Source organism: Homo sapiens, chromosome 9 (assembly GCF_000001405.40).
Source record: "Homo sapiens chromosome 9, GRCh38.p14 Primary Assembly".
Taxonomy (NCBI): Eukaryota; Metazoa; Chordata; class Mammalia; order Primates; family Hominidae; genus Homo; species Homo sapiens.
Window position 1 is genome coordinate 114,708,256 of NC_000009.12, and position 15,093 is coordinate 114,723,348.

General features: G+C 45.3%; 2 annotated features.

Moving 5' to 3' along the window:
• Positions 10,082-11,281: an enhancer, noted in NCBI's record as "P300/CBP strongly-dependent group 1 enhancer chr9:117480617-117481816 (GRCh37/hg19 assembly coordinates)". NCBI's record gives its function as "activates an origin of replication core promoter dependent on BRD2, BRD4, P300/CBP, MED14 and CDK7 cofactors, with strong dependence on P300/CBP, by STARR-seq in HCT116 cells {active_cell/tissue: HCT116}" and the evidence as "EXISTENCE:reporter gene assay evidence [ECO:0000049][PMID:35650434]".
• Positions 10,649-10,768: an enhancer, noted in NCBI's record as "active region_28879". NCBI's record gives its function as "activates an Ori minimal core promoter by ATAC-STARR-seq in GM12878 lymphoblastoid cells {active_cell/tissue: GM12878}" and the evidence as "EXISTENCE:reporter gene assay evidence [ECO:0000049][PMID:35858748]".

The following is a 15,093-nucleotide window of genomic DNA, read 5'->3' on the forward strand; positions in this document are numbered from 1 at the left end:
GACATGATTTTTATGCAATTTGCCTTTTTTAAATTTACTGTGATATTTTACATGTGAATATCCTTTTTCATCCTTTTTTTATGCCATATAGTATTTCACTATGTGAAAATACCTTAATTTATTAATTCATTCTCTTGTTGACAGATACTTGGTTTGCTTATCATTTCTTTCAAATTAATTGCATTGCTTATCATTTCTTTCAAATTAATTGCAGAAGCATTCCCTGTCCCAATTAGCAGGAAGTTTCCATTGCATCCATGAGGATCCACCTTCCCACTTCCCCCCTCCCCCCACCCTCCACCAAGATGTCCGGGAGTCTCAGTGACTTTCTTAGGTTGAAGAGATCAGTTCTGCTCAAGAGTTGAAACAGTCCATGGCTGCCCTTGCTTCTGGATAGTAGTGTTGTGTCACTGCTCATAATTTGTTCTACACAGTCCTTTGTGTCCTTATTCCCTGACATGGTGATACTCTTAGAAGAAGAGCTGAGTTTTCTGAGTATGAACAAAAGAGCAGTAACCCAGAGTCTGAGTGTGGGGCACTGCTGATCCCATGCAGGGCACAGTCATTAAGGGGTTGTTGCAGCAGGGCACAGGGACAGAAATTCCCTGACCAGTGCCCCATCAGCGTGGAGAACACTTCTCCAGGCAAACCCATCAATAACTGATCAATAATTGTTTGAACGCTGTGAGATTGGAATGCTGTTGCTGAGGTCTGTAGAAGCACTGCCTTTGGTGGGTCTGTGGGAGGAGCTTTATTTTATTTATATATATATTTATTTATTTTTGAGATGGAGTTTCACTCTTGTCGCCCAGGCTGGAGTACAATGGCGCAATCTCGGCTCACTGCAACCTAGGAGGACCTTTATTTTTCACTAACATTTCCTCTGTACTTTAGTTTCCTTATCTGTAAAGAGTGTTACCCTATGTGATGAAGAAAACCATTGTTACTGATTATTTAGCTAGAAGTAATCTCAGCTAGCACATGCACTGCCAGCCCCTACATGCGCTCCCTCCTTCCCCTGGGCAGTAATTTTTTTTTCTTTGAGATGGAGTCTCGTTCTGTTGCACAGGCTGGAGTGCAGTGGTGCAATCTTGGCTCACTGCAAGCTCTGCCTCCTGGGTTCATGCCATTCTCCTGCCTTAGCCTCCCGAGTAGCTGGGACTGCAGGTGCCTGCCACCATACCTAGCTAATTTTTTTGTATTTTTTAGTAGAGACGGGGTTTCACCATGTTATCAGGATGGTCTTGATCTCCTGACCTCGTGATCTGCCTGCCTCGGCCTCCCAAAGTGCTGGGATTACAGGCGTGAGCCACCACGCCCTACCCCCTGGGCAGTAATTCTTGCTGGGTTTCCCTGACAGGTGACTGCTCAGCCCAGATGTCTCCAATGGAAGGCATGGCCAAAACACTGCTCTTGGAACAAGAAGTGGACCTTCAGGTTCTCCATCTGTTAAGTTCAGGGAAAACCACCTCTCTCTCCCCACAGAACTGTTTTGAAGGTGAAATGAGACAATGAACTTGAAAGTGCTTGAGAAGGTGGAGTGGGTAGAGTGAGGGTGAGGCTGTCATTGTCTTTGGAGGTAGCACATCCTGTTATTGGACAACTCTGATTTTACAGACATCTGAGTCAGGCCCTGATGCCCACAGCCCTCTGAAGCTCTGCTTGGAAGACTGCACAGCCTTTTGGGAATTTGAAGACGCTCAGCATGTTCAGAATATCCCCCAATTTGTTTATGGAACAAATTTCCCTAGTTCCTTAATATGTGACTTTATGATCTACAATTTCCATAAAACAGAAGAAGGTTGTGGAACATAAACTGCTTACAAAAGTATAAAATGTCACATAATTCTAAGGTGATACCATTGTGACCATTGTTATTGTCACAGCAGTGAAAATGACAACCTCCCCTATTGGGAGCAGAGGTGGCTGATGACTTCCATGTCCCTAAATCCAGGGAATACCTTTCAGTCCTCTGGTCACACTTATTTTTTTTGAGATAGGGTTTTGCTCTGTTGCCCAGGTTGGAGTGCAGTGATGTGATCACAGCTCACTGCAGTCTCAATTTCCCCAGACTCAGGTGATCCTTCTGCCCCAGCCTCCCGAGTAGCTGGGACTACAGGCATGTGTCCCCACACCTGGCTAATATTTGTATATATATATATTTTTGAAGAGACGGGGTTTCATCATGTTGCCCGGGGCTGGTCTTGAACTCTTGGGCTCAAGTGATCCTCCCTCTTTGGCCTCCCGAAGTGCTGGGATTACAGGCATGAGCCTCTGCACCCATCTTGGTCACATTTCTTGACACCTGCTCTTCTCTTGGCTCTTTTGACACTCCTGGGTTTCTTGCCATCTCACTGGCAGCTCCTTCTGAGCCTCCTTTCCTGTCTCTTCTTTTTCAGATCAGCCCTTAAATGTTGTGGTTTTCAGGGTTTATATCCTGGACCCTCTATTCTCCTCCTCACACCATCCCAGGAAGCTCACTTTAGCTCATCCATTCCGGTGGCTTCTATTACCATTCATATACTGCTGACTTCCAAAGTCATCAAGTCCACATTTCTCCCCTGGGTGTAAGGCCTAGAGCTCCAACTGTCTGCTAAACACCTCAATTGGGATGTCTTATGGGCACTCCCCATCCTCCTCCCTCAACCCCCAAACCTCCCCTTTCTGCTACATCCTGTATCACAGTGAAAGTCCCCACCATTTGCCCAGTGGCCCAAGCCAAAAACCTGGGAATCATTCTTGACCTTTTCCTTGCCTTCTATCCTACATGTAAAAAAGCACCGAGTCCTGTCAATACCATCTGTTTCTCTATTCCCACTGCCAGGACCTCTGTGTAGGATGTCAACAGGTCATCTGCTGCCATAGTCCCTTATCTGGTTTCTCTGCCTCTAATATTGCCCATGTCTGATTCAGTTTCTACACTCCAGCCGAAGAGACCTTTCTAAAGTGCAATCAGATCGTGGGGATTTCTGGCTAGATAGTTTTCTTCATTCTCCCTACCCCTCTTCCCGCCCCCACCACAAAAACTTGAATTCTGGAGGCACATGGAAGGAGAGGGAAGCATGGAGATGCTGAAGAAATAGCACAAAACTTGTGGGAAAACTCTGGGGTACTGCAGGGGAAGGAATCTTAACTCAGAAGGAAATGTGAGCCAGAGACAGATGGGGATGGATGGGGAGCCTCACCAGGGGACAGGCATGACTCCTACTCTTTCCTCTATCCCATGCATTGCTTCAGGGCATCAGTGCCTGCCTGGCATAACTGTGACATGGAAAAGTATGTGAGCACTTTGGATTATCACTACAGTTGAAACCAAGAACAAGCAATGTGAGATTGTTATGGGTGCATTGTATCCCCAGTTCGCATGTTGACATCCTAACCGCCAGAACCTCAGAATGGGACTGTATTTGGAGACAAGGTCTTTACAGAGGTAATTAAATTAAATAAGGTCACTAAGTTGGTCCCTAATATAATGTGACTGTTATCTGTATAGGAAGAGGAGATTAGGACACATATAGGTACAGAGACAAGACATTGTAAAGACACGGGGAGTGTAGCCATCCACAAGCCAAAAGGATCACAAGAATTGTGAGAAAATAAATTTCTACTGTTGTTGGATGACTCTGATTTTACAAACATCTGAGCCTTCAGAATTGTGAGAAAATAAATTTCTATTCTTTAAGACATCCAGTCTGGTGTGTGTGTGTTTCTTTTTTAATGGCACCCTAGCAAATTAGTATAAAAGTGTGTGAGGATTAAAAGGGAGAGGCAGGCTGGGTATAGTGGCTCACGCCTGTAATCCCAGCACTTTTTTTTTTTTTTTTGAGAGAGAGTCTCGCTCTGTTACCAGACTGGAGTGCAGTGGCACGATCTCGGCTCACTGCCACCTCTGCCTCCCGGGTTCACGCGATTCTCCTGCCTCAGCCTCCCGAGTAGCTGGGACTACAGGCGTGTGCCACCACGCCCAACTAATTTTTGTATTTTTAGTAGAGATGGGGTTTCACCATGTTGGCCGGGAAGGTCTGGATCTCTTGACTTTGTGATCTGCCTGCCTCAGCCTCCCAAAGTGCTGGGATTACAGGCGTGAGGCGCCGCGCCTGGCCATAATCCCAGCACTTTGGGAGGCCTAGGTGGGTGGATCACTAGAGGCCAGGAGTTTGAGACTAGCCTGGCCAACATGGCAAAAACCTGTCTCTACAAAAAATACAAAAACTAGCCAGGCGTGGTTGCACATGCCTGTAGTCCCAGCTACTCGGGAGGCTGAGGCAGAGAATTGCTTGAACCTGGGAAGCGGAGGTTGCAGTGAGCTGAGATTGCGCCATTGCACTGCAGCCTGGGTGACAGAGGGAAACTCTGTCTCAAAAAAAGGAAGAGGCAAAACTATCATTATTTGTAAGTGCTATAGTAATCTGCATAGAAAGCCAACTGAATCGGCAGACTCTGTTTTAGAACTGATAAGAGGATACAACAAGATTTCCAGATACAAGATCAACTACTAAAAACTAATAGCATGTGTCCATACCAGAAAATACAGAACCAACCATCAAACCTAAGAAAATAAAATGCCATTCACAGTAGCAAGAGAAACTAAATATACCTAGCCATTAATTTATCAAGGAGTGAAGAAGTTCTCTATGGAAGAAAAATTTAAATTCAATCAAAGGACATAAAAGGAAGTTTTGAGTAAGTGAAGAGATATTTCATGTTTGTGATAGAATAACAGAACCTTGTAAAAATGTCAATTTTCTTCAAAGTAATCTATAAATTTGATATAATTGAATTAGAGTTCCAGATGGCTATGTTGATAAACTTGACAAATATTCTAAAATTAATAAATATAAAGGTCCACAAATAGCTGAGCCAGCTTTTAAAAAGAGGAGGGACTTGTCTTCTAGATATTAAGATATATTACGGGGTCACAGTAATAGAAGAATTGTGTGGTTCTGATGGAAGGACAGGAAAATAGATGAATAGATAAGATAGCTCAGAGACAGACCACACATACATGGGAACTTGACATATGATAAATATGGTATCATGCATTAATGGGAAAGGTCTCACTGACTTGCAGATGGCTTTGAAAAACTGGGTGACTATGTCTATCAAATTATACCTAGAAACCTACTTTATCCAGAATATAAAAGTAGAGCATAAATTAAAGACTTAAATGTCAAAGGTTAAACAATAAATCTGATAAGAAACACTATAGGGCCCGGTGTGGTGGCTCATGTCTATATTCCCAGCACTTTGGGGGGCCGAGGCGGGCAGATCACTTGAGGTCAGGAGTTTGAGACCAGACATTATAGGGAAATATTTTTATAACCGAGGAATGATAAAGTCTTCTCAAATAATACCTCCCAAACACAAAGCACGACATAAAAGTGGATTTTATTAAAAGTTACGGATTTCTAATCAACAGAATTAGGTAATTATAACCCAATAGGATGAATAACCACTGGTTATAGACCAGTGGTTCTCACCTGGGACCAATTTTGCCCCCCACCCCTCAGGATGTTTGGCAATGTCTGGAGACATTTTTGGTTGTCACAACTGGGTGGGGGGTGCTACTGGCAAATCTGTCAGGTAGAGGCCAGAAATGCTGCTAAACATTCTCCAATGTGCAGGATACCTCACAACTAGTAATTATCTGGCCAAATATTAATAATGTTGAGATTGAGAAACCATGCTATAGATGGATGCCATATGCAGACTCCAAGTTTAAAATCCACATGTAACCTAATCCTAGACTACACAAAGAAGTCCTATAAATCGTCCAGAAAAAGGCAGGGAACCCGAAAGAAAAGTAGTCAAAGTATACAAATAGCAATTCACAGAAGGGGAAACACAAATAGCTCATAAGTATATGAAGAGATGCTCAAACTCAATAATTAGATACATATAAACACAATAGTGAATTATTACTTTACATTCACTAGCCTGGCAAAAATGAGAAAGTTGGATAATGCCAAATGTTGGCAGGGATGGAAAGGAACTGGGAGCCCCTGTATACCACTGTTGAGGATGTAGACCAATGCAGGAGTTTTGAAGAGCCATCAGGGAGAATTTATTCAAGATATCGTGTCCATATGAAGGATCCAGCAATCTCACTGATGAGCATCCCCAGCCCTGCTACATAGCTCCAAAAGGGGACATCGTCAAGCATGTTCATTGTGGCATTGTTTTTGGTGGCAGGACATTGGAGTTCCCTAGGGTCCTCCACTAGGGGAATGGAAAAGTAAATATGGTGTAGGCATATACTAAAATACTATGCAACAGTCAGAATCCATCTACTTGATATACATGCACCAACATGGATAGGCCTTAAACAATTGTAAGAATTAAATGAAATCAATTAGAATCATAGCTGGCACACAAGTTAACTTTGAATAATACCTTTGCACATGCCAGTTAGATAAATTTAAAATACATGTCTATATGTTTTTGCTAGAACATGCACCTGTGGTTTTTTTTTTTTTTTTGGAGGGGAGTCTCACTCTGTTGCCTAGGCTGGAGTGCAGTGGCGTGATCTCGGCTCACTGCAAGCTCTGCTTCCCAGGTTCACACTATTCTCCTGCCTCAGTCTCCTGAGTAGCTGGGACCACAGGTGCCTGCCACCACAGGTGCCTGCCACCACGCCTGGCTAATTTTGTTTTTGTATTCTTAGTAGAGACGGGGTTTCACTGTGTTAGCCAGGATGGTCTTGATCTCCTGACCTTGTGATCCGCCTGCCTTGGCCTCCCAAAGTGCTGGGATTACAGGCGTGAGCCACCACGCCTGGCCTGTGTGTTGTAAATTTACCTAAATTCCTTCTATGCCTTGTTTACTCAGTACTATGCTATCGGTGAACACTTAGATAGTATGCCAGGGACTATTTTCATTACTCACCTCCTCATGCCCCCACAAGAAACTAGATTAATAAGTATATATATATATATATATATATATATACACACACACACACACATATAGATATACATATATATATATATATATAGTGTGTTTGTGTGTGTGTAATAAAAATTAATTAAAGCAGGAGAGAAGCATTCATTAGTCTGCTTGGGCTGCCATCACAAGATACCATAGGCTGGGTGTCTTAAACCAGACATTTATTTTCTCATGGTTCTGGAGGCTGGAATTCCAAGATCAAAGTGTCAGCAGGGTTGGTTTCTCCTGAGACCTCTGTCCTTGGCTTGTAGGTAGATGGCCACCTTCTCCCTGTGTCCTCACATGGCATTTTCTCTTGTGGCTTGCTGCTGTCTTCTTTTTCTTATAAGGACACCAGTCCTTTTGGATCAGGACCCCACTTTATAACTTTAACATTAATTACCCTCTTTAGAGGCTCTGTCTCCAAATACAGTCACTTTGATGATTAGGGATTCAACAAATGAACTTTACAAGGACACAATTCAGCCCACACAGCCCGACTGGTGTTGAAGAGGACATGGGGAGGGCTCTGGGATGCTTCTTGCGTTCTGTTTCTTGATCCAAGTGCTCATTACACAGGTGTGTTTAGCTGGTGAAAATTCACTGTACAGTGAGGATTTGTAGACTTTTTTTGTAGGTATGTTATCCTTCATTGAAAGCCTTAAAAAGAATTGAATTGTAGCCACTGCTTTCTCTGCATTTACTGATATGTTTATATAGGTTTTCTACTTTGGTCTTTTACTCTAGTACTTTGCTGGGGCTGCCCTACCAAAGTTCCACAGACTGAGTGGCTTAAAGAACAGACATTTATTTTCTCATGGTTCTGGTGGCTGGACGTCTGAAGATCAAGGTGTCAGCAGGATTGGTTTCTTCTGAGGCCTCTCTCTTTGGCTTGTAGATGATTGTCTTCTCCCTGTGTCCTCACACGGTGTTTCCTCTGCAGATATCTATGCCTCTGCCCAAATTTCCTCTTCTTACAAGGACACCAGTCAGATTAGGGCCCACCCTAATAACCTCACTTTAACTTAATTACCACTTTAAAGACTCTATCTCCAAATACAGTCATATTCTGAGGTACTGGGTGTTAGAACCTCAACATATGAATTCTGGGGGGACATAATTCAGCTCAGAACAGGTATCTTATATTGAAATATTCTTGTGGTACTACTATCATGAGGTATTTTATGCATTGCTGAATTCAAATTGCTAGCATTTTGTATAAGATAAAAATAAGCTACGGCCACATTGAAATTTGTCTCACATTTTATTTTATGATGCCATCCCTGTCAGGTTTAAGCATCAAGGTTATAATAGCTTTAAAATGAGATAGGTAATTTTTGCTCTTTGTTCTATTCTGCAAAACAACTATTGTAATTTCATTTTATGTGTGTCTTGGAGGCTTGCTGAAACTGAACAGTAAAACTCTTTTACCTCAAACAAAAAGTAAATCAAAATGGGAAAAGAGAAGGGGAGGGAGGCACGCACAAAAGTAGATGAATGGCACCATGAGTGTATTTTCTGTCCAATTCCCACCCCGTCCAAACACATAAAGGAGCAAACAAAACAAGTTGCATCAAGCCACTCTCCTGCTCAAACTTTCCAGTTGCTCCCTATTGCCCTCTGGAAAGAGCCCACTCTTTACCATAGACCCCCTCAACCTGAAACAGCTTTTATCTCCCTTCTGCACTTTCGTTTTGTTTTCTGAAACAGGGTCTTGCTCTGTTGCCCAGGCTGAGTGCAGTGGCATGATCATGGCTCACTGTAGCCTTGACCTTCTGGGTTCAAGCAATCCTTCCTCCTTGGCTTCCTGTGTGGCTTGGACTATAGACATGTGCTCATCACACCTAGCCCCTTCTGTACTTTTGATTGGAACACTGTCCTACTTCCTAAATGCTCCCCAGGTGAACTCCTCTTCCTCTTTCAGTTTATCTCAGATAGCACCTCCTCCGTGGAGCCCCCCCACCCACCCAGGCTTCTCCCACCCTACCCGACTCTAGTCCCAACTAGAGGTCCTCCTCTTGGCTCCTCCTACTCTTTATGCTGTCCCAGCCTCAGCCCTCCCCTCTCCATTGTTCTTGTTGCTGGGAACCCTTTTATGGCCCGGCAGGGGTGTTGTGGGCTCCAGTCAAACTCTGCAGGATGGATGACAATCTGACTCAGTGGGTGAGACTCACAGACTCACATCATGGAAACAGCCTTTCCCTAATTAAACATGGAAAGAAATGGAAGTCAGCCTTTGCTTTGATGACCAAAACTTTTTCAAGAAGGTAGTGGCTCTCATAATTACATCTAGAGTTAAACACTACACAAGTTTGTATTTAGGAGTGAGGTGGACTTGGGTGGGTGAGGCATGCAGCCCCCTCTCTCTTCTCTTACAGCTCAGAGTGACAGGAGGTGTCTTCTTCTCTTGCTCCTGGGCTGCCTGAGACAGGCTCACTCACTCCCAAGGGAGGATTTAGAGTCTCTAAACTTAGCATTACCTCCCCTCCCTTCTTTTAGCCTTGAATGGGCTTGTTTGAAAGACCATCTGGCTCTTTTTTTGAGCCCCTGGGACATTTGCCCTTGGAAGAGAGCTTGGTTGTATCCTGGGGATATTTGAGAACAGCACTACTCCTACATTGTGTACCAGCGAAATAGAGACACAGATAGGGGAAGCGCTTAAAGTTCCTCCAGTGCTGGCAGAGGCTCTTGCTACCAATAGGTGCTGTTCTGGCAGTGTGTGTTCTAGGGCAGGTGTGCTTCCTGGGCTACCATTTTCCCATCTTCATCCTACCTCTGCCCTCCTGCTGTGGACTGAGTTGTGTCCCTCCCCAATTCAAAAGTTGTAACCCTAACCCCCAAGGTGACTGTATTTGGAGACAAGCCCTTTACAGAAGTAATTAAGGCTAAATGACGTCATAAGGGCAGAGCCCTGATCCAAAAGGATTTTAGGGTGCTTAAGAGATACTAGAGAGCTTTCTCTCTCTCTCTCTCTCTTTCCTCTCTCTCTTCTCTCTCTCTCTCTTTATCTCCTCTTCTCTCTCTCTTCTTTCTCTCTTCTCTCTCTCTCCTCGCACCATATGAAGACACAGCAAGAAGGTGGCCATCTGCAAGCCAGGAAGGGAGCCCTCATCAGGACCCGACCATGCTGAAACCCTGGCCTCAGACTTCTAGTTTGCAGAGCTGTGAGAAAATAAATGTCTGTTGTTTAGGTCACCCAGCCCATGGTATTTTGTTATGACAGCCTGAGCTGAAAAATACATCTCTCAATCCTGATAGACCTGCTCTTCCCCTTATCTCAGACTGCTTTACCTGTCTAATCCTCTGTCTCCTTTTTCTCCCTAAAATCCTAGATGTTGGCATTCTTCAAGGTTTTGCCCCTTACACCATGCCCTTCCTTCTCCCCTTTCCTGTTCCCACTCTTCCCTCTTTCTTCTCTTTTCTATACTCTGGCTTTCACATCTTCAGTTCTAGCCTCACTGTAGGTAATATCTTCATTACTTCTCTCCTGACTCCTATCTGGCATTTCCAGCCACCTCCTGAAGTTTTCTACCTGGGTTTCCTTTCATCAAAGATGGTGTCCTCTCCACTCTCCCCAACCAGAAAATTCATGGCCCTCCTGACTTCCTTGTTTACATCCTTGACACCCCACTCCCCCTGCCTTCTAATAAATTTCCAAGTCATCTTTGGTCTGCCATGCCTCCTTTCTGGACCAGGGAAGAGGGGGTGTGAGTTGCAGCCTTAGGGAGTGGTTAGCAAACCTGGTCGCATAGTCAAAAAGCACCTGCAGGAGTGGCCTCTGTGAGTCATGAAACCACAGGGGCCCCACCTCTTGTGTTTTTCTTGGAATCGGGTGTGTGGGTGTGAGCGCCCTCTCACGAAGACCTCTGCAGGGTTGCATCCTCAAAGGAGGGCAACAGCTGACCTGTGCAGAGCGCTTTGCAGTTTACAAAGCACTTTCACATACCTTGACTCATTTCCACCCTACGACAACTCCATGAGGCGGGATTATTGTTCCGCATCAAGAGCTGAAGGGACTGAGAGTGACTTGCCCAAGGTCAGCGCTAGAAGGTGGCCAAACTGGGACTCAAATCTGGTTATCCTGCTCACAGACAGAGGAATTCCCTGGGCACCTCTCACTGCTAGGCCCTTGACATTGGCTCTCTCAATACGTGAGGAAAGTTGAGGCTCAGCTAAGTGGGATGATTTGCTTAGGATCTCCAGTGGGTGAGTGCTGCCCTGAGGCTCTGAACCCATGTGGATCTGACTCCAAAGCCAGTGTATGCATGACTTCACTAGGTGCATGGCCTCCCAAATCCCAGGGCTTCCCATTAACCCAGAGGGACTTCCTGATGGGTATTGAGCCGTGGCTTGTCATCTTGTTGAAGTGGCTTCCAGCCTGGAGAGTCATCATCTCCGTCATCACCCTCATGTTTGGCACTATTTATTGAGTGCTTACCATATGCCAAGCACTGTGTCTGATGCATTATATACTTGATCCCTGCGTTGATGCATATAATGATGCAAATTCATCTGCTGAAGTCCTACTGTCCAGTATTTCAGAATGTGACTATATTTGGAGATAGAGTCTTTAGAGAGGTAATCAAGTTAAAGTCACCACGATGGGTCCTAATCCAATGTGACTAGGGTCCTTAAAAGGAAATCTGGACACAGACACATACTGAGGGGAGACCATGTGCAGACATGAAGAGAAGGTGATCATCTATAAGCCAAGGAGAGAGGCCATGGAAGAAACCAACTCTACTGATACCTTGATCTGGAACTTCTAGCCTCCAGAACTGTGGGGAAATGCATTTCTGTTTAAGCCACTCAGTCTGTGGTACTTTTTTATGGCAGCCCTAGCAAATGATATATCTGATCTCATTAGGTTCTCACAGCCATTATGGTAATGGGCTTCTGATCCCTAGGGGAGCCCAAGGCAGGAGAGAGAGAGGAATGGGCCCCATGAGGTTGTCTGAGAATGACCTGCTGACAATCAGACTGGTGCCCACAAAGTGGCAATTACCCTGGTGAGGCTGCCAGGGTTCGGGTTGTTGCCATGGTAAGGGCTGGCGGCCCCCAGCTCTGTGAGTTCAGAACCAGCCCACTGAGAATGAGAGCAACACAGCTGCACTTGACTGGGTCCTGCCTCTGTGCCAAGCACATGCTCAGTGATGTCAAAGAGTCTGTGGGTGGGAGCTGTCATCACCTTACTGTATGGATGGGGACATGGCGGTTCAGGGAGCTTCCCTGACTTGCCCAGGGCAACACAGCTTACAGGGACTAGAGGTAGAACATGAACCCAGTTCTGTCTGGCTCCAGGACTTGGCATCACACCAAGCAACTCAGAGACATGGCATCTATATTTATAAACCTGATGCCAAGGGATCCATTTCCAGTGAGGAATGTACCCCCATGTGATCTGGAATGCTCCAGGGCTTTGGGAGGATGTTTTGCTCCCTGTAGCCAACTTGTCACAGGGTTGCTTGGTGACCCTGGAATTGGAGTGATGAGAGTGAGTTTCCTTCTTTCAAGGCACAGTGGTCAGGAGGACACACCTGGTGGAGCCAGCCTGCGTCTCAGCTCTGACACTTGCCGGCCATGTGAACAGGGACAAGCTGCTTAATCTCATTGTTCCTCTGTTTCCTCATCCAGGAAACACAGAAGATGCAAATGGCAGAGTCCCTCCTAAGGCCATTTAGGAGGACGAGGGCATCAGGTTCCCATGCCAGGCTGGGCGAGGAGGCCACTCACGTCCGTGGAGGGGCTCACTGTACCAAGAGGTCAGGAGATGGAGACACTTCTGGGCAATCTTGGCTCAGCAACATCTCCTTGTCCTTCCCTTTCCCGGACACCAGATCTAGTCTAGTTGGTTTATTATCTTTTCTAACAGAATCTAATCCAATGACTTTTGATTGTCCCCCATGGGGTTTTGGAAACCAGGCTCTACACTCGCGCATTCTCCTGGTCCACTTAGATGGCTCATCTCTTCCTTTTGTGGGTGGATTTTGGTAACTAGAAGATTCTCTCCTTGTTCTTTCCCCTCCTCCTCCCATTAGAATGTAAGTTTGCTGAGGGCAGGAGTGTGACCCTCTTGTTAACGATTGAATCTGCAGCGAGTGTCTGCTTGGATTAGCTTGAGGTCATGATGCAAATGAAAAGGGTTGGACTGGAATCCAGATCTCAGGGCTCCCAAGAAGATCTTCTCGGTCCCCCATCCCTCCCTTCCTTCATACACCGCGCCAGATGCCCGGTTTCCAGCAGGGAAAAGACAGACACTCACCCTCTGCCTTGATGGGTTTCTTTCCTCCCATGCCAGTGCCTCCTTGGAAGCCTCCTGTTAATCACCCCAGTGTGCTCAGTTCTTTTCAGCCTCCAGGTTTTTGTCCTGCTGTTTCCTCCCCTGGAGCCGCCTTCTCCCTGCTCTGTGTGCTGGCTCCTCCTGGGGAGCCTGTCCACACCTGCCTCCCTGCGATGGCTGTTGTTCTGTTTCCCCTGCTCACTGCCCTGTCAGTCACAATCTGCTCACACAGGTTTGCTTGCTTGTTATCCACGCCCCCACTAAGCTTAAAGCCTCGCAAGGGCAGCAACTCTGTAGTCGTATTTACAGCGATGTCTACATGGACTCTGAGCTTGAAAACCACCTGGTGATTGAAAGAATGAAGGACTCTGCTTTCTAGTAGGTGAATGACTCTTTGTCAAAGGATTACACAAAAAACAAACAATGATGCAGTGAGGTAACTGCTGTGAAGGGAGTTTACAGTGTGCACGAGGGCACAACACACTGGGGCTGACCTCTGCTGGGTCTTGCATGGAGGCACACACAACCCTGTGGGGTAGGAGCTGGCGTTGCTTCCTCAGAGAAGCATCCCTGATACCCCAGATGAGTGCAGGCCTCCCTGTCATGTGGCTTGACAGCTCCCTGTACTTTCCCTACAGCACTTATTGCAACGATACACATTTATACAATTAGTTTTATTTTCATTGTGCTGAAACGTGCATAAAATTTGCTATTTGTGACGTTCGGTACATTCACAGTGTTGCTCAACCATCACTGCTATCTAGTTCCAGAAATTTTCATCATCTCAAAAGGAAACCCCATACACTTTAAACGGTCACTCCCCATCCTCCATACCCCGGGAAACACTCATCTTTCTGTCTCTATGATTTGCCTATTCTAGATATTTCTTATAAATAAGATGTAATTAGTTAAAAATGTTTTCCCCCCACAGCCATAAAAAAGAATGAAATCACATCTTCTGCAGCAACATGGATGGAGCTGGAGGCCATTATCCTAAGTGAAATGACTCAGAAACAGAAAATCAAATACCGTGTGTTCTCACTTATAAGTGGGAGCTAAACAATGGTTACTCATGGACATAAAGAGGGAAATAATAGACACTGGTGACTCCAAAATCCAGAAGGGTGGGAGGAGGGTGAGGGTTGAAAAATTACCTATTAGATGCAATGTTTACTATTCGGGTGATGGGTTCACCAGAAGCCCAACCTCACCATTACACAATATATCCATGTAACCTGTACATGTGCCCCCTGAAACTATAAAAAACAAAAACCAGTGGAGGAAAATATTTTCTTCCTCTCTTTTCGTCTCCCTCAGGGTAAGAATTGTAGGATTTGTGTCTGTCTGGCTTACTTTCGCCCAGTCCTGGCACAGAGGCTGGCATGTGCTCTATGCCCCCCAAACAGTGGTGGCATGATGGAAGAACATTTTCTCACTGCACGTCTGCAAGCTCACTGGATGAAAACGGTGTGACTTATAGGATACAGGAGTCAGCGTGCTTGGGTACAGTTCCTCCAAATGCCTCTTGCTAGATCAAGTATTACCTTAGTCTTGTTATTAAACACCTTGGCACATCAATTTCCTCATCAATGAATTGGGGAGAGTTGTAATGCCTGCCTCCTTCGGGTAACACGAGGACAACTGACACTCTATCTGCACAAGTGCCTGTTGCAGCAGCTGGCCCAGAGCAGGCTCTCAGGATCACTAGCTATTATTATATTCCTTGTGCTTTTCAACCCCAAGTTCTGGACTGGGTCATATACAGAGTCTATGGCAAATGCACGTTAGTTTGAATGATGCCTAAAAGGGTTTAAAAATTAGGCAGGTGGATGCCTAGGTCAAAACTGAAGAGAGTTCAGTTGGGATGATGATAAAGAAGAGACTTCTCC